This window comes from Homo sapiens, chromosome 19 (genome assembly GCF_000001405.40).
Source record: "Homo sapiens chromosome 19, GRCh38.p14 Primary Assembly".
Lineage (NCBI taxonomy): Eukaryota > Metazoa > Chordata > Mammalia > Primates > Hominidae > Homo > Homo sapiens.
In genome coordinates this window covers 44,643,862-44,671,377 of record NC_000019.10, presented here as the reverse complement: position 1 = coordinate 44,671,377, position 27,516 = coordinate 44,643,862, and the positions used below count along the sequence as shown (strand labels likewise).

Here is a 27,516-nt window from a genome sequence, read left to right as displayed (position 1 = left end):
GAGGCCAAGGTGGGTAGATCACGAGGTGAGGAATTTGAGACCAGCCTGGCCAACATGGTGAAACCCTGTCTCTACTAAAAATACAAAAGTTAGTCAGGCGTGGTGGTGGGCACCTGTAATCCCAGCAACTGGAGAGGCTGAGGCAGGAGAATCACTTGAACTTGGGAGGCAGGGGTTGCAGGGAGCCGAGATCGCGCCACTGCATTCCAGCCTGGGTGACAGAGCGAGACTTCGTCTCAAAAAAAAAAAAAAGCTCTTAGCCTCGTGTTTTTCTTTTTTTTTCTTTTGAGATGGAGTTTCGCTCTTGTTGCCCAGGCTGGAGTGCAATGGCGCAATCTCAGTTCACCGCAACCTCTGCCACCTGGGTTCAAGCGATCCTCCCACCTCAGGGAGTAGCTGGAAATGCAGGCATGCGCCACCACGCCCGGCTACTTTTGTAGTTTTAGTAGAGACAGGGTTTCTCCATGTTGGTCAGGCTGGTCTTGAACTCCTGACCTCAGGTGATCTGCCCACCTTGGCCTCCCAAAGTGCTGGGATTACAGGTGTGAGCCACCGCGCTCAGCCTGTTTTTTTTTTTTTTTTTTTTTTTTTTTTTTCTTGAGACAGGGTCTTGCTCTGTCTTTCCATTCATGAACATTGGTTGTCTTACCATTTAAATATGTCACCTATAATTGCAAGAATATTTTGTAGTTTTTGGATTGGTTTCTTTTTTAGATGCTGTGTCACCCAGGCTGGAGTACAGTGGCACAATCTCAGTTTACTGCAACCTCCGCCTCCCAGGTTCAAGTGATTCTTCTGCCTCAGCCTTCTGAGTAGCTGGGATTACAGGCATGCGTCACCATGCCTGGCTAATTTTTGTATTTTTAGTAGAGATGGGGTTTTGCCATGTTGGCCAGGCTGGTCTCAAACTCCTGACCTCAGATGATCCTCCTGCCTCGGCCTCCCAAAGTACTAGGAGTATAGGCATGAGCCACTGCACCCAGCCCCAGAGTGTATGTTTTGTACTTTTTTGGATCATGTTTATTCCAAGTGTGTTATTCTTTTTTTTTTTTTTTAAGACAGGGTCTCGCTCTGTTGCCCAGGCTGGAGTATAGTTGCATGATCATTGCTCACTGCAGCCTCCAACTCCTGGGCTCAAGCAATCCTCCCGTCTCAGCCTCCTGAGTAGCTGGGACCACAGTTGTGTGCTACCATCCCTGGTCAATTTTTATATGTTTTGTAGAGATGGGATCTCACTATGTTGCCCCAGGCTGGTGTTGAACTCCTGGGCTCAAGTGATCCTCCCACCTTAGCCTCCCAAAGTACTGGGATTACAGATGTGACTCACCATACCTGGCTTAGCCTAGTTTTTAAAAAGCATCCTCCATTCATTCCAGCACACATTCCCAGTGCCCAGTTGTGTGTGCTGGGTGATGTTGGTGACACAGTGATGATTGAGACCACCTCTGCTCTGCCCTCTGTCCACAGTAGGGCACACAATCCTGTAGGGTTTGGGGGGGCAGACCCCTCTCACACAATTATGATCCAGAGTGATCAGGGCTGGGATGGAGGAGCCCAGGAGTCTGGGAGAGCCCAAGGAGACACACCTCATTCAACCTGACGGCTAGGGAGGGCTTCCTGGGGGAGGGGGCATCTGAGCTGAGACCTGGAGTAAGAGTAGAAATGAGGCAGATGATGGGGTGAGGCAGCATGAGGTGCACCAGGCAGCATAAATAGCAATGCAAGGATGTGGAGGCTGAGATAGTCATCAAGGTGTATTGAGGAGGTTGCAATATCTTGGGTGAGTGGAGCCAGGAAGGAGGGTGTGGGGCCTGTGTGTGTGAGGCTGGGAGGTAGGAGAGATCAAATGTGCTCTGTTGGTTGGATCAACAGAGCTTGGATAATGGAGGGTCTAGTGTTATGCTGTTTAATATCATAGCTATTAGTCATATGTGGCTATTTAAATATAAATTTAGGGAGGCACAGGTGACCCACACTTGTAATCCTACCCCTCTGAGAGGCTGAGGTGGGAAGATTGCTTGAGCCTAGGAATTGGAGACCAGGCTGGGCAACATAGTAGGACCCCAACTTTACACAAAACAAATTTAAAAAATTAGGTAGGCTTGGTGGCTTTCAACTATAGTTCCAGTTACTCAGAAGGCTGAGGCAGGAGGATTGTTGAACCTGGGAGGTCAAGGCTGCAGTGAACTTTGATCATGACACTGCACTCCAGCCTGGGTGACAGAGTGAGACCATGTCTCAAAAAAATATACTGAATAGGCCAGGCGTGGTGGCTCATGCCTGTAGTCCTAGCACTTTGGGAGGCAGAGGCAGGCAGATCACTTGAGGTCAGGAGTTCAAGACCAGCCCGGGCAACATGATGAAACCCTGTCTCTACTAAAAATGCAAACATTAGCTGGCCGTGGTGGCGCATGCCTGTAATCCCAGCTACTCGGGAGGCTGAGGCAGGAGAATCACTTGAACCTGGGAGGTGGAGGTTATAGTGAGCCAAGATTGTGCCACTGCACTCCGGCCTGGGCAACAGAGCAAGACTCCATCTCCAAAAAAAAAAACTGAATATATATATATTATTTTATATATAATATATATTATATATAATTATATATTATATTATATATATTATATTATATTATATTATATATTATATTTATATATACATATTATAATATATAATATAATATATAATATATTATAATATATAATATATGTATATAATTATATAATTATATACATATATAATATGTGTATATAATTATATAATTATATACATATATAATATGTGTATATAATTATATAATTATATACATATATAATATGTATATAATTATATAATTATATACATATATTATATATTTATATTATAACTAATATATAATATATATAATATATATAATATATATATTATATTATATATATTATATATTATAAAATATATATAATAATATATAAATATATTATATATATAATATATAAACATATTATATAAATATATTATATATATAATATATAAACATATTATATAAATATATTATATATATTATAAACATATTATATAAATATAATAATATATAAACATATTATATAAATATAATAATATATAAACATATTATATAAATATAATAATATATAAACATATTATATAAATATAATATATAAATATTATATAAATATATATATAATATATAAAATATATTATATATAATATACTATATAATATAGCATATAAATATATATAATATATTATATAAAAATATATAACATATTATATAAAATATTATATAAATATATAATATATAAATATATTTATATATTATATATTTATATATACATAAACATATAAATATATAATATATACTATATAAATAATATAAATCTATATAAATATATACTATATTTATAATATAGTATATATTTATATAGATTTATATAATTTATATATATTTTATATATTATATATAATTTATATATATTTTATATATTATATATAATTTATATATATTTATATATTATATATAATTTATATATATTGTATATATTATATATAAAATATATAATTTATATATAATATATAAATTATATAATTTATATATATTTATATATTATATATAAATATATATAATTTATATAATTTATATATTATATATATAAATATATAATTTATATATATTTATATAATATATATTATATATTTATATATATAATATATATTTATATTTATATATCTATATAATATATATTATATATTTATATATTTATAAATATATAATATATATTTATATATAAAAATATATACATATATAATTTATATATATATTACATATACATATAAAATATATGTAAAATGTATGTGTATGAATATGTATATATAAATGTATATATGTGTATATATATTCAAAGTAACTAAAATTAAATGCATTAAAAAATGCAGTTCCTCAAACTAGCCACCTTCAAGTGCTCACTAGCCTCAAGTGATCAGTGGCTACTCCATTGGACAGCACAGATGGAGAACGTTTTCATCATCATCTCAGAAACTTCTATTGGGGAGTGAGAGCTGACCTAGGGATCTGAGGCAGGCGGTGCCAGGCATTTCTACCCAGTGAGGTCCATCAGGAAGAGACAGCTAGGTCGGGGTGTGGTGTATCCATAGCACTTTGTGTGTGTCTGAGTGTTCCGGACACACGTCTTCAGCTTGTTGGGGGTGATGGTATCTTCTAGAGGCCCCAGGTTGAGGCAAATCAGGAATCTTGACGTTGAACTGCCTTGAATGATGGAGTGGCCCAGCTATACACTGAATGGCTGTAGAGTCCAGGGCAGCTCTGCTGTGAGCTGGTGAGTCTGGCTGAAAACTTGGTTCTACCACCATATGGCTGGGGTATTTTGTGGCACACGACTTCACCTCTCTGGGCCTCAGCCTCCTCCCCTGGAGAATGGGGATAAGCATCACCACCTCACAGGGATGTTGGGAGAACTGTATGCAAGAGGCCCAGCCAACAAGCAACAAATGCCTGTCATTGTTATTATTATTATTGCTGTTGACCTTGTCTTTGGATTTGCCCCACCTCCCACATTGCCCCCACCCCTCGTGACCCTGCTCAAGAGAAGTGTATTTTCCCTGGAGGGATTTCCAATCCTCCACATCCTCAATGTTCCTTAATGCCTGGAAGATTTCATGCTGGGTTCGTGGGGTCAGAGTACCCTCAGAATCCACCTGACAGATTCTCACTCTGTCGCCCAAGCTGGAGTGCAGTGGCACGATCTCAGCTCACTGCAACCTCCACCTCCCAGGTTCAAGCGATTCTCTTGCCTCAGCCTCCCGAGTAGCTGGGACTATAGGCGCACGCCACCACGCCCGGCTTATTTTTGTATTTCTAGCAGAGACGAGGTTTCACCATGTTGGCCAGGCTGGTCTCGAACTCCTGATCTCAGGTGATCCAATCCACCTCGGCCTCCCAAAGTGTTGGGATTACAGGCGTGAGCCACTGTGCCCGGCCCTTCAATCCTTCCTGCAGTTTTGTAGTTTCCTTGGTCTGTCTCCGGGAGAGAAGTTGTTGCAAACCCAGCAGTTATTTCCAGGCATGGATTAAGCAAAGCCAGCTATTCTGGATTTTCCGGTGGCTGGATTCTACTCTCTCTGTCTCCTTCCCTGCCTCCCTCCATTCTTCCCTCCCTCCCTCTCTCTTTCTTCCTCTCCCTTTCAAACAATCACTTCGATTCCTTTTGCATTATTAAAAGAAGAGTCAAGGTTTATTGCAGAACTTGTAGACAGTACTTAGAATAAAATTCAAACATGTTCCAACCACCCAGACAGAGGTAGTCACTGCTGGTAACAGAGGTCTAGGAGTCCATCCTGTCCTGCAGCCTTCATCTGGGCCTCTCCCCAGCCCCAGAGGGCAGGTCCTGTTTGGTCCAGCCTTCCAGGCGGTCCCATTCTTTTGGCCAGGGATTGGTTGAGCGGTGGGCGGCGCTGGTGAATGAGACCGGAAAAGACGCTGCTGGGTGAGGTTTCTGCTGCTGGATGCGGTTTCTCGTTCCTACAAAGGCTCACCCAGGTAGGGATGGGCAGCTTCTCTGGGTCTGAGTCTGGATGTGATGCCTGGAATGCAGCAGCCATCTTGGCACCAGAGGGTGATGCCAATATGTGGAGGAAAGCAGAACAAACAGCAGAGCAGCAGAACTGGGCCTGCATGCTGTGCCCGGAGTAGAGCCAGGCAATCCAGTTTTTTTTTTTTTTTTTTTTTTTTTGGAGACAGAGTCTCACTCTTGTCACCCAGGCTGGAGTGCAGTAACTCGATCATGGTTTACTCCAGCCTCCACTTCCCGGGTTCAAGGGATTCTCCCACCTCAGCCTTCTGAGTAGCTGGGATTACAAGCATGCACCACCACACCTGGCTAATTTTTTTTGTAGAGACACGGTTTCACTATGGTCTGGTCTTGAACTCCTTACCTCAAGTGATCCACCCGCTGCAGCCTCCCAAAGTGCTGGGATTACAGGCGTGAGCCACTGCGCCCAGCCCGTAATTTTTTGTAAAAAGTTAGATTTCAGTAGCACAGACATTTTCACCCCAAGCAATCTGCAACCCAGAGGCTTCTGGGACCTCACAGCTCCTCAAGGTGAGATCGTATCAACCTGAAAAGATTCCCGACTCCCGTGCAGGAGCAATGCAGAGGGAGGGTGTGGAGTGTTTTAGCCTCCTTATGATCTCCATCATACCCTGCCCCCCGCCAAGTCTCTGATAAGGATAGTTGCGGTTTTCTTAACCTTACTATAAGTTTATACAACACCTATACCAAAATTCTGGGCCCACTCTCCATTCCTGGCTCTGTGGACTCCAAGGATGCCCCCTCCCTCCAGAAAAAGGTCATCGCCTACGTCGCTGGTGGGAACAGAACTCAGCACAACTTCTGTGAGGGTTCATTTGTCAATATCTATCACAATGACAAGAAACATACTCTTTGGCCCAGCAATTCCACCTCCAGGAGTGTGTCCTACACTCAGGTGTTAACATGAGCTAAATGACAGTGTGCATTGGCCAGGCACGGTGGCTTATGCCTATAAATCCCAGTACTTTAGGAGGCCAAGGCGGGAGGATTGTTTGGGCCCAGGAATTTGAGACCAGCCTGGGCAAGATGGCAAGATTCCTTTCTCTAAAATAAAAAAAAAAAAAAGTAAAATAAATGACAGTGTGTAAAGTTATTCACTACAACATTGTAATAGTGAAAGGCTGGAAAGGATACAAATGCCTGTCCTTAGAGGCCTCGTTAAAAAAGCCCTGTACAGCCCTCCCATGGAATATGAGGTGGGTGTAGAACAACTCAGGAGGCATTCTCTGAATTACCAGAAACTGAGCAAAAAAAGTAAGGTTCAGGGTGGGCGCGGTGGCTCACATCTGTAATCCTAGCGCTTTGGGAGGCCAAGGCAGGAGGAGCACTTGAGCCCAGGAGTTCCAGCCCAGCCTAGGCAACATAGCGAGATGCCTATCTCTACAAAAGTTAAAAAGAGATTTAGCCAGGTGGGGTGGCGCCCACCTATAGTCCCAGCTACTCGGGAGGCTGAGATGGAAGGATAGCCCGAGCCCAGCAGGTCGAGGCTGCAATGAGCCATGATCACGCCACTGCACTCCAGCCTGGGCAACAAAGTGAGACTCTTATTTCTAAAATAAATAAATAAATAAACAAATAAATAAATAAATAAAGTGCACTATTCAATGGTTTTTTGGTATAATTAATTTTCAAAAATGGTGGTTAAAAAGAGATAACAGACAATTTGCCATTTTAGCTATTTTTGAGTGTATGATTCAGTGGCATTCATTACATTCACAGTGTTGTGTAAAACTGGATATCCATGTGCAGAAGAATGGAGCTGGACCATTACACTCCAAACACAAATTAGAATGGATCCCTCATGTCTTTTTATCTTCTAATTTTGGGACGTTTATGTACTATCTAATTAAAAAAATTAGCTTAGCATGGTGAGGGGCAGCTGTGGTCACAGCTACTTGGTAGGCTGAGGTGGGAGGATTGCTTGAGCCCCGGAGTTAGAGGCTGCAATGAGCTATGATCGTGCCATTGCACTCCAGCCTGGGTGACAGGAGACACCGTCCCTTAAACATTTTTTTTGGAGAGGAAAAAAAAAAAGACAAGCTGTTCCTAAGGTGCCTGGGAATCCCAGCCCTTATGGCCCTCTTCATTTAGCGTCTTGCTTCCATGCCTCTGGTTCCATCCCACGTGGTGACAGTACACATGAAACCTGTCTGCTCCTTGATTTCCACAAAAGACCCCATTGCACACAGCCGCTGGAGGTACAATAAATAAGCTTTAATGAGATTCTGGGTGCTGGAGACAGACAAGGAGCTTACGTGCCACCAAAGCAACCAATGTTCCTTTATCTCCCCAACTCTGTGGGGTCCCACTGGCCTCCTCACCCTTGAGCCCTTTGCCCCTGCCATCCTGCTGGTTCCTATCTCTTCCCCACACTTCTCTGTTCCCGGCTCTTCCATCTCTGTCCAGAGCAAATCCTCTGTCCTGCTTATTTTCTCTTGCAGAGCAGCTCAAGCTTTGCATTCCCATTTAGCATCTTGGCCCAAGGTCTTCTCTCCCTCAACGTATTTTCCCAAACAGTTTTCTTTATAAGAGGAATTCTGCTGTCTGCCCTCAAGATCATAGACCTTTTTAACTTGTCAGTTGCACTGAGCAGCTGGGCCTCCTGGGTCTTGGGTCGCATCCATCTTGGTCCTATAGGAGCGTGTCCTGAGCAACTGCAGCGCTGCCTCCCCCTGCATCCCTTCCCCCTTGTGTTGGAAATTGCATTTGCTTCTTTTGTGGGTTATTTCCTGCCAGTCCCAGCTTGCTGGCTGCAGATGCTGGCAGAAAGTGGCTGCAGATGCTGGCAGAAAGTGGCTGCAGCTGACAACCTTCTTCAAGTTCACATCTAGTAGTTTTCTCTGCTCCTTGGACACCCCCCAGGCAGCTGCTTGCGGCCTGAATTGCAGCCTCTGGTGACCAGGGTCAGTGGCTGTTTCTTGTAACCACAGAGATCTGACGGATACAGAGATTTAGAAGCTCAAGGCCAGAGGCCAAATTTTTACCAAAATTCTCTGGTGGCCCACACCCTTCTGTGTGGTCTGCTATGCAGTAAAGGCTTAACCTTGCCCAAAGAAAGATCGGGCCCTTTATCCTCAGCTCCTGGGCATTCATCTCTAAGCCCTTGGAATATCCTGCCTGGTAGCTGATCTTGGAGTCTTGGGCCACTCTGGGTGGTTCATGCTAATGATGTGATTTATGGTGGGGGTCTTGGGCCACACGGTATTGGCTTGATGTATGAGGTCAGCCGTGTGGATGGTGAGCTGCTTAATTCAGCACTTTGGGAGGCCAAGGCAGAAGTATCACTTGGAGCCAAGAGTTCAAGACCAGCCTGGGCAACACAGGGAAACCTCGACTTTACAAATAATAAAAAGATTAGCCAGACGTGGTGGCACATACCTGTAGTCATAGCTACTCAGGAGGCTGAGGTGGGAGGATGACTTGGCGTTGAGAAGTCAAGGCTGCAATGAACTGTGATCTCACCACTGTACTCTAGTCTGCCAACAGAGCCAGACCCTGTCTCAAGACAAACAAAAAACTCTGGACACAAAGATCTCGAGTGAGCTGCTCTGGTTGGCAGTATTGGCAGTACTTCTTGCATGTTGTCACATGTTGCTGTGAGAATCAGGTGCTGCCTATATGGCTCCACTGGGAGAGGGCAGATGGAAGCCGTCGCCTCATCTGTCGTGGAACGTGTGCTGTGCACCTCCTCCCTTTGCTGATCTTAATCTCTGTCCTTTTACTGTAATAAACTGTAACTGTGAGCCTAACAGCTTTCCTGAGTCTAGTGAGTCCTTCTAGCAAATGAAAGGAGGGTGGTCTTGGAGACCTATGAACTTGCACCTGCCCCCGTCGTTTTGAGGTCTGGCACAGGGAGGGAGGCTGGTCTCTTTGGAGGGGGTCTTCATCCATTGGGGTCGGGTCCAACTCTGGAGGCCCACGTCCTTGCCAGCTCCAGTCTCTCTCCCCTCTCAGTCCCGACGCTGTCACCTTGTGCCCTCTGTCTGTGGATCCTGGGAAGAGCTGTTCTCTCTGCTCACAGCTGAATAGGAGACATGCTAGAAGAGGGTTTTCAAATTTTAGCCTTGGGGCTCTTTTGAACAAAATCAAACATCTTCCCACTGAAGCCCCATGTGCAAAGAACTGCAGGCCCGTCCCCTCCTCTCTCCCTGGAAGCCAGGGCAGTGCTTCTCAAGGTGTGGCCATGGGTGGAATTGAAGGGGCGTGGGGCAGGGGGGAGAGAGCGGATATTAAAATGCAGATTCCCTGGCCCCATCACAGACCAGACTGTCTGGGGCTGCGTCTTAGCAAACTCTACAGGGGATTCCGCCCAGCAGGAAGGGTTGGGAAATGCTGCTCGAGGCACCAGGAGAAAAGACCCAGGCTCCTGAGGCCGGGCCGTGGGCATCTGAAGACGTCTGGTCTGTAGTTCGTGCAGACCCCACACCCTCCTTAGCTCCAACACTGCACTTACCCCATTAGCTGAGGCGCTGGCATGCTCTGTACCTGGGGAAATAGGAGGGGAAGTCGTCAGGAAGGAATAATGCTGGGAAGCATGGGAAGAAGACATGCCTGGGTGTCAGGGCCCTGAAAATGTCAAGTTCTGCCTCTGCTATTACATGGGGGTGCCATTTCCCTTAATGGTATACACGTGTGTCAGACAGGGATGGAGGGTGTGCTTTCTAAGGATTTAGCCATCCAGTTATTCACTTGGTTATGAAATATCCATAAATATCGAGCCTGGCTCTGGAACCAGATGGATGGGTTCAAATTCCATCTCTGTCCTTTAGGAGCTGTGTGAACTTGGACAAGTGACTTAACCTCTCTGTGTTCAGTTTCCTAGACTATTCAACAGGGGTTTATTTAGCAAATAGTAGTATTATTCAGCAAATGGTGAATGTCTACTTTGTGCCAGGTACATTCTAGGTGCTGGGGACACAGCTGTGAACAAAACAGATAAAAATGCCTGCTCTTGGCCAGGCGTGGTGGCTCACACCTATAATTCCAGCACTCTGGGAGGCTGAGGTGGGCGGATTGCTGGAGTCTAGGAGTTTGAGACCAGCTTGGGCAACACAACGAAACTCCATCTCTACTAAAAATATAAAAAATTAGCCAGGCGTGGGAGTGCACGCCTATAATCCCAGCTACTCGAGAGGCTGAGGTGGGAGAATCACCTGAGCCTGGGAGGTTGAGGCTGCAGTGAGCCAAGATCACATCACTGCACTACTCCAGTCTGGGCAACAGAGCAAGATCTTGTCTCAAAACAAAACACAAACAAACAAACAAAAAGCCTGCTCTTGTGCAGTTTATGTTAATAATAACAATAATAGTAATAATAGCAATAACAATCATAGCAAATACATACTCAGTATGTGGCTTACCATGTGCCACCTACTGTGTTAAGTGCTCTACTGTATTATTAGGTACCATCACCCCATTTTACAGATGAGGAAACTGAGTCATACAGCTTAAGCTATTTGCCTATGGTGACATCACTAATCAAGCAGTAGCTTTAGGGCCCAGATACAGGCAGTCTGGCTCTGGAGCTGACACATTGAATCACTCAGCAAACACTTCCTCGAGTGCCTCTTTTATGCCCGGCCCAGTGGTAGGCGGTCCTGGGGACACAGTCATGACAGTGACAGCCTCAGGTCTGCTATCTTGGGGCTCACAGTCCACTGGGGATGACAAACAAGTCCCCCACGGTGATGACCCAGAATGGGCAAGGCTGGAGTGGGAGAGCCTAGTGGATGCTTGGCTCATGCTTGGGGGTCAGGGAGGGCTTCCTGGACGAGGCAGTATCCGCCTGGGTTGTAAGGGAGCAGCTTTGTTTAGTGGTTGAAGGAAAAGCTTGGTAGTCAAAGATCTGGCTTCTTCTCCCCAACAACCATGTCCAGCTGTTTGACCATTGGCAGGTAACTTCATCTCTCAAAGCAAATACTTCCTCCTCTGTAACATGGGGCTCACGGGAGAACCACTTTGCTGGGTGGTTGTGGGCATTCAAGGAGATTGTACAGGCCAGGTGTGGTGGCTCATGCCTGTAATCCCAGCACTTTGGGAGGCTGAGGCGGGTGGATCACAGGAGACCAGGGGTTTGAGACCAGCCTGGCCAACATGGCGAAACGCTGTCTCTCCTAAAAATACAAAAATTGCTGGGCATAGTAGTGCGTGCCTGTAATCCCCGCTCCTTGGGAGGCTGAGGCATGAGAATCGCTTGAACCTGGGAGGTGAAGGCTACAGTGAGCCGAGATCGCACCACTGCACTCCAGCCTGGGCGACAGTGAGAGCCTGTCTCAAAAATAAATAAATAAATACATAAATAATAAAAAAAATTAAAAATTAAAATCGAGGGGGTTATACATACAAAGTGGCATGTAGACAGTGCTCAGCAAAGCATCGTTCCTCTGATTACAGAATGAGCTGGCACACTTCTCCAGAAGGAGCCATGGGAGGGTGCTCCAGGCAGGGGAACGGCCTGTGCAAATCTCTTGAGGTGTGAAAGCATCAGACCCTTTTAGAGCTGAGGATCAGAGGTGCCAGTTCCTGCCACCTCCTCCTAGGAGTCACTCCTGAACAAGGCAGATGGAGTAAGGCTGAGGGCTTAAGCATTATTTCACCCTCCATCCATCTGGCAGGGACTCCCACATCACCTGAATTAAATTCCAAAGTCCCTACCATGGCATTAAGACCCTATACGCTCTTCTCCCACTCTGTAAATAATATTTGTAAATGTAATCAATGAACCAGTGAACAAGGCTCCCTGGCTCTGCACCCTCATCAGTCAAATGGGGGAAACCTCATGGCAGTGGGGTGAGGATTCAGTGAGAGGCACACTGGAAGGACTCAGCACAGAGCCCGTAGTAGGTGCTCAATTACGGCAGCTCTGGTGATGCTCACTCGAGGGACACAGATGACAGTGCCAAAGGACCTCACGGGAACATTTGGACCAATAGAAATAAATCCCGATCCCCAGCAGGATCAGAAAAACCAGGATTCCCAGAACCAGGAAGATGATGGCGTTACGGGACATGCCTGAGTGCTCACTGGGAGGTCCCTCTGAAAGAGAAGGAAACAGGTATTTAGGTAAGGAAACTCTTGGGGTTTATCCCTCATTCTTGAAATGGCATCTTGAATTTCCTTAGGGAGCCACCACTCCACTGCCTCAGTCTATTTAATTCAGGTGGAATGGATCCCACCCTCTGGTGCCCAGAATGGGACTTTGACACAGGCCTGGCCAATCAGAATATTCCATTCTCCCTGGCTGCTATGATTGGTTCATAGGTGGGCTGTGGCCTAAGCTGGGCCAATGAGAGCCAGCCCTGGGACTATGGCTACAGTTACTGAAAGTGGTATGTTTTTTCTCCTGCTGTTGCCATTCTGGTAGAATGTGAGCCTGTCCCTGCCGAGGGCCATCTTGCTTCAGAGCCTGCCTGAGAATAAAGCCAGTATAACGAAAAGCAGAGACAAGAGATGTATAAAATAAAAGTTCCTGGGTTACAAGGTTGGAGCCCCTGGATCTAACCATACCTGAAGGTGAATTTTCAATAAAGTCCTGTTTTGTTTGGTTTTTTTTGCTTAGACTACTTTGTGTTTCTGTCAATTGCAATTGATAGAGGTCTGCCTAATATATTTGGAAAGGCCTGAGTCCCTGAGAGAGAGGGATTCCACATCTATCCCAACCTGTGTGTGTGGAGGGAGTGTATCCAGGCAGCTGAACAACGGTACCAGTGATATAGGTATGGAGTTAACAGGGGAGTAAAGCTGGCCCCACTGGTCCTTTTGTGAGAAGGCTTAGGAGAAGGATGGGAGCCAGAGAGCATTAGACAGGGAACCCTGCCTCGACCTCTTCCTTTGGTCCCTGTTCTTCCCACCCAGGGAGTTCCTCACCTTTGACCTGGACGGTCAGTTCTGCCTGGCGAGCTCCTAGGGCATTGGTGACGTTGCAGATTAAAGTTGTGTTGATTGGTTTGTCCACAGGACGGATCAGGAGCTGGGCGCCCTGGGCCACAGCAAAGGGTGGCAGGGGACCCATGGTCCTGGGAGAGACAGAAAGGTGAGGAGGTGGCCTCTGCTGCAGGTCCGGAGTGACAGTGATTGAGCACGCACTACGTGCCCAGAAACCCTCACGCCCTCTATAGCATAAGCGGAGAGCAACTCTGGAGGCCCCCCAACTCTTCCCTTCCTCTCATGCCCACACCCAACCCATTAGCCAATCATGTCGGCCCCGCCTTAAGATCCATCCAGAATCCCACCTCTCCTCAGGGCTTCCACGGTACCTCCCTGCTCTGGCGCTGTGCATCCCGGCCCCCAGCAGCCGCCTCCACGCTGGGCTCCGTTTCTGCCCTCGCCCCCTCGTCTGTTCCCCACATGGCCACCAGAGGTCGCCTGTGAACCCTAAGTCAGTTCCCATACCTCAGCTCAGTACCCTCTGGGGGCCTAGCCTGGCTCAGAGTTAAACCGAAGTCTTCTGGTGTCACAGGCCCCACGTGATCTGGCCCCTGCTACCTCTGCCCACGTTTTCCATTACTCTCCCCTTTGCTCCCGCCTCTGCATCCACAGTGGCCTCTTTGTTGGTCCTCAAACTCTCCAGTTAGGTGTCCAGGGTGTTTGCTTATGCAGGGACTGATGGATAGAAATGGGTTTGCCCATGCTGTTCCCTCTGCTGGAATGCTTTCCCCCTAGGCACCCGCAGAGCTCACCCTCATCTCCTTCAGGCCTCTGCTGGGATGTCACCTTAGTAACACCTCACTTGGCCACCCTATTTCAACTGTGATGATCACCCTTCCCATCCCCTTCTCTTTAATTTATTTAATTATTATTTTTTTGAGACAGCGTCTCACTCTGTCACCCAGGCTGGAGTGCAGTGGCACCATCTTGACTCACTGCAACCTCCACCTCCTGGGTGCATGGAATCTTCCCACCTCAGCCTCCTGAGTAGCTGGGACTACAGGTGCATGCCACCACACCCGGCCAATTTTTGTATCTTTTTTGGTAGAGATGGGGTTTCGCCATGTTGGCCAGGCTGGTCTTGAACTCCTAGCCTCAAGTGATCCTCCCATCTCTGCCTCCCAAAGTGCTGGGATTACAGGTATGAGTCATGGCGCCCAGTCCCATTCCCTTCTCTGCTTTGTCTTCTCCATGGTATTTATCACCATTGCACACACACTACACACTTTATCTTGCTTCTTGTTTCTTTCACCACTAGAATGGAAGCTCTATATGGGGAGGAAATTTGGTCTGTTTTATCGACCAACGTATGTTGGTTAATTGCACCCGGCACACAGTAAGTAGTCAAGGAACACTGGTTTAATGAACAGAGGTGGAGGAGATGGAAGCATCAGGCTTTGGGTGCTCCGCAGAGCTGGGATGCAAACGCAGCTATCTGGCTCAAGAGCCTGAATTGCGGTGCTTTGAGGCAGGACAGTAAAGGCACCATCACACCAGTTGAAAACCTTTGACCGGCAATTCCTTCCACGGACAACTGCTGACAAGTGACCAGTGGGGATGGACACCACCATGGCATTTGCAGAGTTGAAAATGGAAAATGACATCTGTGTCCTCTACTAGGGACTGGTTAAATAACTGATGACATCCACATATGTTGGAATCCCTTCCCTGCCCTTTGGGAGGCCCAGGTGAGATGACTGCTTGAGTACAGGAGTTCAAGACCAGCCTGGGCAACATAGTGAGATCCTGTCTCTATTCTTTGAATTTTTTTTTTAAAGTGGTGGAATCCCAGCAACACTAAAAAAGGGGCCAGGTTAGCCAGGCGTGGTGGTGTGTGCCTGTAGTCCCAGCTATCTGGGAGGCTGAAGCTGGAGGATCGCTTGAGCCCAGGAATTCAAGGCTGCAGTGAGCTGTGATTGTGCCACGGCACTACAGCCTGAGCAACAGAGTGAGGCCCTGCCTCAAAAAAAAAAAAAAAAAAAAAAAAGCAGGAGAGCTGGGGGTGCTCTGAAATGCATAATATGATTGATGGATGAATAGAGGGACTGAAGGAATCACAGAAACGTGATAAAGCAAGCACAGTAAAATGTTAGCAGGGGAATCCACGTGGTGGAATCTTAAGTGTTCACTGGAAAATTCCTATGATTTTTCTGTATGTTTGACAGTCTTCCTAATACAACGTGGGGGAAAATGGAGTTGTGGATCTATGTGCTTTGACATGGAAAGGTATTCACAAGACAGACGAAAAGGTTCAAAATTATATGTACAGCATAATTCCAGTCTTTGTTTAGAAACAGAGAGAAAAAAGACAGGATGTATAATAAGGGGTCACTGGGTATTTCTGGAGGTGGCTGGGTACACTTGAACTATAGGCACTACTTTCTTCTTTTTGCTCATAACTAAATTGTTTGATATTTCTACAGTGGACACAAGTTATTTTTGTAATAAGGAAAAAGACCTAAGGCTGGGCGAGGTGGCTCACGCCTGTAATCCCAGCACTTTAGGAGGCTGAGGTGGGTTGATTGCTTGAGCCCAGGAGTTGCAGACCAGCCTGGGCAATGTGGCAAAACCCTGTCTCTGCAAAAAAAATACAACAAAATTAGCTGAGTGTGGTGGCGTGTGCCTGTAGTCCCAGCTACTCAGGAGGCTGAGGTGGGAGGATCACCTGAGCCCAGGGAGGTCCAGGCTGCAGTGAGCTATGATCACGCCACTGCACTCCAGCCTCGGCAACAGAGCCCCTTCTTTAAAAAAAAAGGGCGGTTCAGTAAAATTATGTAATTTATGTAAAATTATGTATTATAAAATTATGTATTATCTCTTTGCCTTTTTCTTACCTTGCTCTTGATCTCAGCCTCAGTGTGAATCTGGGGAAATCTTATTGCTGTGAGCCTCAACTTTCTCATCTAGACAATGGGGATATATAGTACTTGCTCCATCCAGAGATAACCAAGTAGGTTACACAAGGTGACGGTGAGGTGGTTACAGTCTAGAGTGGGGGTGTCCAATCTTTTGGCTTCCCCGGGCCACATTGGAAGAAGAAGAACTGTCCTGGGCCATACATAAAATACACTAACACTAACAATAGCTAATGAGCTAAAAAAATTCGCAAAAAAAAAGTCTCATAATGTTTTAAGAAAGTTTACAAATGATGTGGCCTGCAGGTTAGACAAGCTTGGCCAAGAGGCGGAGGACCAGCTTTGGAGCCGAGCGCTGATTCAAGGGCCGCTTCTGCCCTCTCGTGGCTGGTCTTTAACCTGGGCAGGGCAACAGCTGCTGACTGTGCACAGCATGGGGTCACATGGGATTCGGGGGAAGTACCGGGCACAGAGCAGGCACACCCCAAAAAGCAGGTGCATCCACCAGCCAGGATTCAACCACCTGCTAAACGCCTCAACCGCAAAACAGAGATGTCAAAACAGAGATGCCCCCCACTGGGGGCCCGAAGTCAACCTCCTCTTTTTCTCTTTTCTGAATCTCCCTCCTCTCTTAGACCAGGAGTCCAGGCCCCAGTCTGTCCTGCCTCAGACCCAGGGGTCCAGGCTCCCAGCTTCTCCTCCCTCAGACCCAGGGGTCCAGACCCCCCAGCCCCTCCTCCCTCAGACCCAGGGGTCCAGGCCCAGCCCCTCCTCTCTCAGTCCCAGGGGTCCAGACCCCCAGCCCCTCTTCCCTCAGACCCAGGAGTCCGGGCTCCCAGCCTCTCGTCCCTCAGACCCAGGGGTCCGGGCCCCCAGCCCCTTCTCCCTCAGTCCCAGGAGTCCAGGCCCCCAGCCCCTCCTCCCTCAGTGCTAGAAATCCAGACCCCCAGCCCCTCCTCCCTGAGACCCAGGACTCACGTGCTCCAATTATAGCCTGTGGGCTCTGGGTTGCTGCGAGCATCGCAGGTCAGGGTGGCCTCATTCTGGCCAAGGTACCAGTTGTTATCATAGCCAGAGATGGATACCTCTGGGGGGTCTGCAGGAAATGGATACAGAGGTTCAGAGACTGGGAGGCTTTGGGGGGCCTGGGGCTACGCGGGATTCACGACACTGCAGGAAAAGGCCCGGGGATATTTGGAAAACAGCGGGAGCTGGAGAGGCCTAGGAGGAGTCTAGGTAGATGGGGTGCCACAGAGAGCAGAAGCCTAGGAGTCCTTGGTCAGTGGGGACATGGAGAAGGCTTCTGAGGAGCTGCTTTTCTCCACTAGCTTTCCTGGGTAGCCTGGACCAGGCATGTCTTGGGTGTCCTGCAGGAAAATGCCTCCTCCTTTTCTCACTCATAGGCAATGACCACTCACAACACACAGCAGTGTATTCAAGGTTCTGACAAGTCCTGCAGGAAAGAGTCCCAGATAACCCTGCTCTAGGCTGCTGCTCAGCCATCCCATACGTGATTGACAGCGAAGACCTTTCAATGTCCTTGGGGGCAGGCCAATGGGACAGGGTTTTATTCGGGGGCGAGGGGTAGGAGTCAGTGTAGATCTCCTCCTCGCTCAGACCCAGTGACAGTGTTGAGGGACTCCAGTATAGACAGTACCTGAGGGAATCTGTGTACCAATTGCCTGGCGGGGAGTAAGCAGTATAGACAATGGTGGGAGGAACAGTATGAATGATGTCTAGAAGAGCTTGTGTGGATATTACTGATGGGTTCAGTGTAGACAGGGTGTTGGAATATTACAGCAGATGCTATATTGTCGGGCCAGTGTTGAAAATGTGGTGGTGGGGGTGAGATCACCCCCACATATACAGTGTGTCCCCGGGAGCTGACGAAATTAAGACAGGCTCTGTGTATGTGTGTAGACAGTATTTGGATGAGCCAGTGTAGATGATGTGGGAGCTTAGTCTAGATCTGTGCTGTCCAATATGGCACCTACTGGCCACATGTGACTACTGAGCACTCGAAATATAGCCAGGCCGAAATACACACCAGATTTCAAAGGCTTTACTAGGACAAAATAAATGGGAAAGATCTCAAGAATAATTTTAAAAAAACAATTACAAGTTGAAATAATATTTTAGGTATATTGGGTTAAGTAAAGGCAATTATTAAAAATTAATTTTGGCCAGGCACAGTGGCTCATGCCTGTAATCCCAGTACCTTGGGAGGTTGAGGCAGGAGGATCACTTGAGCCCAGGAGTTTGAGACCAGCCTGGGCAACATAGGGAGATCCTGTCTCCAGAAAAAATAAAAATAGGCCGGGTGCGGTGGCTCACGTCTGTAATCCCAGCAATTTGGGAGGCCAAGGTGGGTGGATCACGAGGTCAGGAGTTTGAGACCAGCCTGGCCAACATGGTGAAATCCCGTCTCTACCACAAATACAAAAATTAGCTGGGCACTGTGGCCAGGGCTTGTAATCCCAGCTACTCGGGAGGCTGAGGCAGGAGAATCACTTGAACCCGAGAGGCGGAGGCTGCAGTGAGTTGAGATCGTGCCACTGCACTCTAGCCTGGGTGACAGAGCAAGACTTCATCACAAAACAAAAAAACAAAAACAAAAACAAAAACAAAAATTAGCTAGGCATGGTGTCACACGCCTGTAGTCCCAGCTACTCAGGAGACTGAGGCTGAGGTGGGAGGATCACTTAAGCCCAGGAGGTTGAGGCTGCAGGGAGCTGTGCCACTGCACTCCAGTCTGGGTGACAGAGTAAGACCCCGTCTCAAATAAATAAATAGATAAATAAATAAACAAATAAATTTCATCTCTTTCTTTTCTTGTTTTTGAGATGGAGTTTTGCTCTGCTGCCCAGGCTGGAGTGCAATGGCGTAATCTCGCTCATTGCAATCTCCGCCTCCCAGGTTCAAGTGATTCTCCTGCCTCAGTCTCCCGAGTAGCTGGGATTACAGGCACCCGCCACCGTGCCTGGCTAATTTTTGTATTTTTTAGTGAAGACAGAGTTTCACCACATTGATCAGGCTGGTCTTGAATGCCTGACCTCAGGTGATCCACCTGCCTCGGCCTCCCAAAGTGCTGGGATTACAGGCGTGAGCCACCGTGCCTGGCCTCTTTCTTTTAATTTTTTAATGGGGTGGCCGCTGGAGAATTTAAAATCCTATATGCAGCTTGCATGCTATTTCTGTTAGACAGCACTGGTTAGAGAGTCCTGGGGCTGTCAGTGGAGATAAATGTGTGGGTGTCAATGTCGATGATGCCATGAGGGAGCTGGTGGAGGTAACGCTGTGCAGGAGAATCAGGACAGATGCTGTCAGGGGGCTGTGCAGACAGAACACAAGGAGGCCAGTGTGGTGATGTGGGGTGAGACTGGATAGCCTGTAGATGAGCCAGTGTAGACAATATTGGGCAGAGGAACATGGAGACTACACTGGGGGACTCTGCAGACACTGCTTAGGGGAGCCAGCACAAACAATGTGAGAAGATCAATGCAACTAGCACCCGGCGGAGACAGTTGATCGTGGCTCAGGGGAACTGGTCGATACAATGTGGGAGGTGAATGCAGACAGTTCTCCAGGGAGTCAGTGTAGACAGTGTCAGGGGGCACTTTAGAGAGTGCCTAGGAGAACCAGTGTAGAAAAAGTGGGGTGTTTACATAGACAGTGGTCATAGGAGCCAGTGTAGACACTATGGGAGACAGTGAAAACACCCCACAGCTGGTGGCCAAAATAGGTGGTGTAGACAATGGGGTTAGTGCTGTCTGTGGCCCAGGAGAGCCAGTGTAGACAATGGTAAGGCAGTGTAGAAAATGGACAAGGGGCCAGGTGCAGTGGCTCACGCCTGTAATCTCAGCACTTCGGGAGACTGAGGCGGGAGGATCACTTAAGCCTAGGAGTTTGAGACCAGCCTGGGCAACACAGCAAAACTCTCTCTAGAAAAAAACTGTAAAATTAGCCGGGCATGGTGGCTGCACCTGTAGTCCCAGTTACTTGGGAGGCTGAGGGAGAAGGATTGCTTGAGCCTGGAAGGGTGAGGCTGTAGGAACCATGATCATGCCCCTACACTCCAGCCTGGGTGACAGAGCGAGACCCTGTCCAAAGGAAAAACAAAACAAAACAAAAAGCCGGGCACAGTGGCTCATGCCTATAATTCCAGCATACTTTGGGAGGCTGAGGCAGGCCGATCACCTGAGGTCAGGAGTTCGAAACCAGCCTGGCCAACATGATGAAACCCTGTCTCTACTAAAAATACAAAAATTAGCCAGGTGTGGTGGTGTGCACCTTTAATCCCAGCTATTTGGGAGGCTGAGGTAGGAGAACCACCTGAATTTGGGAGGCAGAGGTTACAGTGAGCCGAGAACATGCCACTGTACTGCAGCCTGGGTAACAGAGTGAGACTCTATTTCAAAAAAAAAAAAAAAAAAAGGAAAGAAAGAAAAGGACAAGGGAGTGGGTGTAGACAATAAGGGAGGCAGTGTTGATCGTGGCCAGAAGAACCAGTGTAGCAATGTGGGGAGGGTCATTGTGGATACTTGCCTGGGGAAATGGGTGTAGGCAGTTTAGGGGCAGTGTAGACTGTGCTCAAGGGAGTCAACAGAGTGTCAGGTATCCGTGCAGACAGCCGCTAGAGGAGCCAGGGCAGACAGTCTGGGTACCAGCATTGACTATGGCCCAAGTAAACTGGTGTAGACAATAGGGACAGTGTTGTTTACGGCCCAGGGGAGCTGGTGCAGACAATGGGGGTGGGTCGTGTAGACAGGAGTCAGGGGAGCCGGTGCAGATGATGGAAGCAATGCCTACAGTGCCTTGGGGAGTCAGTGTAGACAGTGGTGGGGGCAGCCCGGCAGGGGTTCTTGCCATCGCTGACTTGGGCACACTCACAGTACACGGTGAGGTTCACAGTCAGCAGCTGAGGCTTCTCAAAGCTCTCGTGCTCCACCTTGCAGGTCACATTCTTGCCGTCCACCTGGCTTGAGGGCACCAATATCCAGAGGCTGGTGACAGTGACTGTGCCAGACAGGAACCCTGGCACCTGGCTCGTATTGGGCATCCCGCCCAGGTCTGAGTGCCAGGTGATTTGGGCTGGCGGGCGACCCCCTGTGGAGACGCAGCGGGCCATGGGCACTGGCTCTCCAGTGAGCTGGACCTTCTGAACCTCAGCTGTGTTCTGGGGCTTGGCTGGGAAGAGGAACAAAAGCAACAAGTCATTCAATGAACCCCTCCGTGGCAGAAGGGGGCATTCATTAAGGGTACAGGATGGCATGGTTGCTGGGCGGGGTGGCTCACGCCTATAATCCCAGAACTTTGGGGGGCTGAGGTGGGTGGATCACTTGGGGTCAGGAGTTCGAGACCAGCCTGGCCAACATGGAGAAACTGTCTCTATTAAAAATTAGCCAGGGTATGGTGGCACACGCCAGTAATCCCAGTTACTTGGGAGGCTGAGACCAGAGAATTGCTTGAACTCGGGAGGCGGAGGTTGCAGTGAGCTGAGATTGTGTCACTGCTCTCCAGCCTGGGCGACAGAGTGAGATTCTGTCTCAAAAAAAAAAAAAAAAAAAAGATACAGAATGGCATGGTTTAAATCCCAGCTGTGTCCCTGAGCAGCTGTGTGGTCTTGGGCAAGTCTGTGCCTCAGTTTCCTTGTCTGTTGACAGGGGATAGTGATGGGATCACAGGCAATGAGAATATGCAGGTAAAGCTCTTAGAATGGTATATAATAAGCGCTCAATAAATATTGTTTGGTGGAAAGTGCTGGAGCCCAGCAGTGACCAAAATAGCCCTGGTTCTGCCCTCATGGGTACACAGTCCAAGGGGGCAGACGGACTCTTTCCTAGGCAGTGATGACTCGGAGAGGGCAGGGCTGGAAAGGGGAAACCCAAAGGGGGTTATCCTGGTCTGGGGCTCAGTGGAGGAGAGGAAGCCTGAGCCCTGAAGTTGAGAAGGGAAGTGACTTGCCCATGGTCACACAGCTGTAAGCAGCAGAGCTGGGCTTTCACATAAAGTCTGTCTGACTCCAAAACCACCTTGACCATCTCTTAATCATCATCCTGGTGATTCCCAAACCTGGAACTTCCTTCCCCATCATTACCTATATTATTTACCGAAGATTTCTCCTTAACTTGACTCACTGTTTCTGTTTTACCCTCATCCTAAACCATGATACCCAGAATCCCAGGCTTGCTGGAGTGACAACAGCTGCCTTTGGTTGGGTGTTGTGTGCTAGGCACAGTTCCAAGCCCTTGACATTTCATGAGTTTCTCATGCACAGGCTTGGAATAGTTCTTGGCACATAAGCTTAAAAAGAAAAGAAAACAAAACAAAACAAAACAAAACAGAAAACAAGTTGGGCATGGTGGCACATTCCTGTAATTCCAGCTACAGGGAGGGTAGGAACATCCCTTGAGCCCAGGAGTTCCAGGCTGCAGTGAGGACCTACTATGATCACACCACTGCACTCCAGCCTGGGCGACAGAACTAAACTATCTCAAAAAAAAAAAAAGGGTCAGTTTTTTTGAATCCTCATGGTGATCCCTATCCCACAGATGAGGAAACTGAGGCACAGAGACTTCTTGCTCAAGTTCCAAGAGGAAGGCTTCATGGAGCTCATGAAAATGAAAGCATGATCCCCTCCTCTTTTGGGTATCAGGATCCTTGCTTTCCTGTCTGTCTGTTTCAACTTTCTCCTTCTTCACCAGATAAAGTAACAGTAACCGACAGCTCTAAGGGGCTCACATGGGCCAGCGGTGAAGCGCCGCTGCCCTAAGGCTGCAGCTTTGGTCTTGGGCAAGTCTGTGCCTCAGTTTCCTTGTCTGTCAACAGGTGATAATGATGGAATCACAGGCAATTAGAATATGCAGGTAAAGCTCTTAGAATGGCACATAATAAGTGCTCAATAAATATTGTTTGGTGGAAAGTGCTGGGGCCCAGCAGTGATCAAAATAGCCCCGGTTCTGCCCTCATGGGTACACAGTCCAAGGGGGCAGACAGACTCTTTCCTAGGCAGTGATGACACTCAGGACAGCTTTCCAAGGGTGATGCTGTTGTCACCAACCCTTTTACAGATGAGGAAAGGAGGGACCCAGAAGAGGCCACCCAGGCCTCCTCCCTTCCTTCCCAGTCCCCTCCCAGCTCCCTTTCCAATATACCCCTCCTCCTCCCTCAGGGCTTTCTGATCCCAGGCTTGGGGGTCCTTACTCCCTGAGATCTCTGCTTTCTTCCTGCCCTGCAGCCCCTCCCCCCACTCACCTCCCCCCACCCCACCCCACATCATTGCGCTGCCCCCTCCTTTTGTCCCCAGGGGATCTGCTGTGGAGGGAATCTCCCTCCCTCCCAGGCCTCCCCGCTCTTTGCCAACTTCCCTGATCCTCCCACCAAGTCTCTGCCTTTCATTCAGCCTCCCCAAAACCCCCTGCTCACCAAGCACTCGGAGCCAGATATCCACGCTCCTGCTGCCCTGCGGGAACGTGACGAACAGGCAGGTGTAGTTGCCTTCATCCTCTACGCGCAACCCGAACATCCTCAGCGAGGCATTCCGCAGCTCCGCGCCCAGTCTGGCTGCCACGAATTCCAGCCGTTTGGACTCCGAATAGCTGGGGCCCTGCGTTTGGTGGAAGACGGCCATGCTGCCAGATTCACCATGCCGCGCCCAAGTCAGCTGTGACACATGCGTCACCTCCATGTTGGGCACCTGTAGGTAGCAGGGCAGCGTCACGGAGTCGCCCAAGAAGCCGGGCACCTGGGTGGGCGCCTGCACGACGACGTCCCCTGCGGAGAACCGAAGAGAAGGTGTCAGACCCGGGGCGTTCTTGGACTAGATAGGGAGGGGCTCCAGGAGCCCGGGCACCTGGGCGTGCACTTGCACGCTGGGGCCCTGGATCCCCGGTGGACCGTGGGGTGTGGGGGGAGGGGGAACTGGGGCACTAGTTGGGGCCATGGCAGGCGAGGAGGGTAAGGGCGTCTGGGATGGTCTGCAACTTGGCCGTGCTCCTTCACTTTGGCTATTTATTACCGTATTTCTTCTATTATTACCGTATTTCCCTGAATCTCAACATCACTGATTTAAAAAATTGTGGTAAATATTGTGGTTAAAAAACTAAATTTACCATTTAAGTCATTTAAAGCATACAGTTCAGTGGCACTATGTACATTTCACGATATTGTGCAACCGTTACTACTATATAGCGCCAGAACTTTTTCTTTTCTTCTCTTTTTTTTTTGAGACGGAGTCTCTCTCTGTCGCCCAGGGGGAGTGCAGTGGCGCGATCTCTGCTCACTGCAAGCTCTGCCTCTGGGGTTCAAGCGGTTCTCCTGCCTCAGCTTTCCGCGTAGCTGGGATGACAGGCTCCCACCACCACACCTGGCTAATTTTTTGTATTTTTGTTTTTAGCAGAGATGGGGTTTCACCATGTTGGCCAGGCTGGTCTTGAACTCCTGACCTCAAGTGATCCTCCCACTACGGCCTCCCAAAGTGCTGGGATTACAGGTATGAGCCACCGCACCTGGCCCAGAACTTTTTCATCGCACCAGTGTCGTAGGTTTCACATACCATGACTGTTGTCATTTATAGCACAACTTGCCATTAGGGGTTAGAATAACCCCAATGTAGAAAACGGGGAGAAATCTTGGGTCTTCAAATCCATGAAACACTGCATTATTACTCTGGGTGGGTCCTGGTTGGAAGAATGTGGGGGATTGAGGCACGAGAGGAAGGCAATTATAGCCCAGGAGTTTTGGGTCCCTTCAGTTTTCTGCTGTGGAGCTTCAGGCCGGTTACTTAACCTCTCTGATTCTTTTTCCTAGTTTGTAAAATGAGACTTAGAACAGTGGACACTCACAGGGTGCTGACACAGATCAGGGGCTATTCTGGGTGCTTCACATATATCTTGGCATTTAATCCTCAAATAGCCCCCCTGAGGCAAGCACTACTGTTAACATCATTTTACAGACAGGGAAACTGACACAGAGTATAGTGTCCTCCAAGTCATACAGAGGTTTAGTGGCAGAGGTGGGATTTGAACTTGGGCGGTCAGAGACTGACCTCTAATCCCCCAGGTCCTATATAAAAATCTTTCTGCTAAGGGCCCTAGCACATAGTAGGTCCTCAAAATGTGACAGCGCTTATTGACACTAATAAACATGGTCCTATGCATTCTTTTTTATTTTTAAATTTTTATTTAGTTAATTATTTTTGTAGAGATGGGGTCTTGCCATATTGCCCAGGCTGGTTTTGAATTCCTAAGCTCAAGTGATCCTCCCACCACAGCCTCCCAAAGTGTTGGGATTACAGGCATGAGCCACTGTGCTTGGCTGCAACCAGCCTGGGCAGCATAGCGAAACCCTGTCTCTACCAAAAATACAAAAAAAATTAGCCAGGTGAGCACCTATAATCCCAGCTACTCCAGAAGCCACAGTGAGAGGATCGCTTGAGCCTGGGAAGTCGAGTTTGCAATGAGCCGGGATTGTACCACTGCACTCCAGCCTGGGCAACAAAGCAAGACCTTGTCTCTCTCATACACACACACACATACACGCACACACGCACTATATATATATATATATATATATATATATACACAAAACATATAAATAAATAATAAAATATGTTATCTATTTACTCTTTAAATGTATAATAAAATATATATTATTTATTATATAAATAATATATGTTATAAATATATAATATATTTAATATATATTTATTAAGAAATATATTATTATATATTATCAATTATATAATACATAATACATATTATATATTATAATAATATATATAATATATAATATACATATTATATATTATAATAATATATATAATATATAATATACATATTATATATTATAATAATATATATAATATATTATAATATATTATATATTACTATAATATATATTATATATTTTATTATATATTATATATTACTATAATATATATTATATATTTTATTATATATTATATATTACTATAATATATATTATATATTTTTATTATATATTACTATAATATGTAATATATAATAATAATATATAATATATATATTTATCAGGAGTTTGAGACCAGCCTGGCCAACATGGTGAAATCCTGTATCTACTAAAAATACAAAAATATTAGCCAGGCATAGTGGCACATGTCTGTAATCCGAGCTACTCGGGAGGCTGAAGCAGGAGAATCGCTTGAACTCGGGAGGAGGAGGCTGCAGTGAGCCGAGAGCAGGACACTGCACTCCAGCCTGGGTGATGGAGTGAGACTGTCTCAAAAAAAAAAAAAAAAGAATGAAAGAATGAATGAATGGCCAGGCCCCTGGAGTCAGACATTGGGGGTCAGAGGGGTAATGGTGTCAAGTGTCACCCACTGTCCTCCTCCCCAACATCAACCATCCCCTCCGTCCAGACCCAGCCTGCCAGCACGCTGCTGGGTTATGGCCTGGGTATGCTGAGCAGGAACCTGGGTAAGGTAATCCGGCATGCGTCACCATCTGCTGATTTTCCGGGATTCACTTGCCTTTTTGGGAAATTTCCTCACCCAACTCCATCCCCTTTCCGAGGGGCCCAGAGGAGGGTCTTGTGCCCGACCCGTGTTGCTGCCAATTTCGAGGAATTTCTGTACCCAACTCCGACCGCTCTCCGGGTGGCCAAGAGGAGGGTCCTGCCCTCGCACCCTCGCACCGTGTTCCTTCCAACCCCGGGGCAGAGATGGGGGGTGGGTGGCGCCGGGCGGGGCCGTCATCTTCGGGAACCCAAGGGGGCGAGTACCCGGCCTGGATGCGGAGCTGGGAGCCAGACAGGGGCCACCGGACTGCGCGGGGGTCACTCACCGGTTCCTGGGGGTGGCCAGGACAGCACCAGTAGCGCCACCAGCAGCAGCGGCCACGCGGCGGCCATGGCTCGGGCCATGCCAGTTGCTCCGAGCAGCTGGGCCTCCCGCGGGCGTCTCCTCGCTTCCCGGCGCCCGCTCGCTCTGCCGCGGTCGCTGCGAGTCCAGCTCCCGGAGCTCAGGTCCTGGAATCCCCGGGGGGCCGCTCCTCCAGTGCCTGGGGTGGGAAGGGGAATACCCACTTCTTCAAGCTCCAGACAAGTGACTGGAGCGGAGGGGAGTTGGCGGCCAGTCCCGCCAGGCGCGGGGTGGGCC

The 27,516-nt window shown here is 47.7% G+C and overlaps 2 protein-coding genes and 1 non-coding gene across 6 annotated transcripts in view, besides 3 other annotated features; 1 reads left to right on the top strand and 2 right to left on the bottom strand.

Moving 5' to 3' along the window:
- Positions 1-5,518, bottom strand: part of CEACAM19 (CEA cell adhesion molecule 19) — an 18,496-nt gene extending 12,978 nt beyond the window's left edge. The window contains exon 1 of the mRNA NM_001389722.1: positions 4,057-5,518. The gene's annotated coding sequence lies outside the window, so the exon portion shown is untranslated. The remainder of the gene's footprint in view (positions 1-4,056) is intronic.
- PVR (PVR cell adhesion molecule) lies at positions 5,216-27,468 on the bottom strand. 4 transcript variants are annotated; one of them, NM_006505.5, is made up of 8 exons: positions 27,203-27,468; positions 23,808-24,155; positions 21,273-21,569; positions 17,361-17,478; positions 13,468-13,616; positions 12,478-12,636; positions 10,055-10,086; positions 5,216-9,638 (listed from the first exon to the last, which is right to left on the bottom strand). In NM_006505.5, exons 1-8 carry the CDS (start codon positions 27,279-27,281, stop codon positions 9,567-9,569), a joined length of 1,254 nt encoding a protein of 417 aa, NP_006496.4. In that variant the 5' UTR covers positions 27,282-27,468; the 3' UTR covers positions 5,216-9,566. The 4 variants fall into 4 exon arrangements, with proteins under 4 accessions (NP_006496.4, NP_001129240.1, NP_001129241.1 ...); NM_001135768.3 differs by having other exon boundaries at positions 12,613-12,636; NM_001135769.3 differs by lacking the exon at positions 12,478-12,636.
- Positions 14,640-14,840: a silencer, noted in NCBI's record as "peak3503 fragment used in MPRA reporter construct". NCBI's record gives its function as "represses an SCP1 promoter by STARR-seq MPRAs in K562 erythroleukemia cells {active_cell/tissue: K562}" and the evidence as "EXISTENCE:reporter gene assay evidence [ECO:0000049][PMID:32103011]".
- Positions 16,616-16,675: an enhancer, noted in NCBI's record as "active region_14764". NCBI's record gives its function as "activates an Ori minimal core promoter by ATAC-STARR-seq in GM12878 lymphoblastoid cells {active_cell/tissue: GM12878}" and the evidence as "EXISTENCE:reporter gene assay evidence [ECO:0000049][PMID:35858748]".
- On the top strand, positions 17,646-17,692 carry MIR4531 (microRNA 4531). Its single transcript, NR_039756.1, has one exon. It is a non-coding gene; the product is annotated as a microRNA 4531 (primary transcript).
- Positions 27,437-27,516: a silencer, noted in NCBI's record as "silent region_10734". NCBI's record gives its function as "represses an Ori minimal core promoter by ATAC-STARR-seq in GM12878 lymphoblastoid cells {active_cell/tissue: GM12878}" and the evidence as "EXISTENCE:reporter gene assay evidence [ECO:0000049][PMID:35858748]".

What these genes read in the sequence shown, in the direction of transcription:
- PVR (NM_006505.5), bottom strand. Translation starts at nt 27,281, where the DNA reads ATGGCCCGAGCCATGGCCGCCGCGTGGCCGCTGCTGCTGGTGGCGCTA. An exon ending in CTGTCATCTGTGTCCCTCGA is followed by an intron (nt 10,087 to 12,477) that starts GTGAGCATCACC and finishes CTATTTCCCCAG; the next exon opens with GTACAGAGCATGCCAGCGCC. An exon ending in CCAGCGCCTCAGCTAATGGG is followed by an intron (nt 9,639 to 10,054) that starts GTAAGTGCAGTG and finishes ACCCTCTTCTAG; the next exon opens with CATGTCTCCTATTCAGCTGT.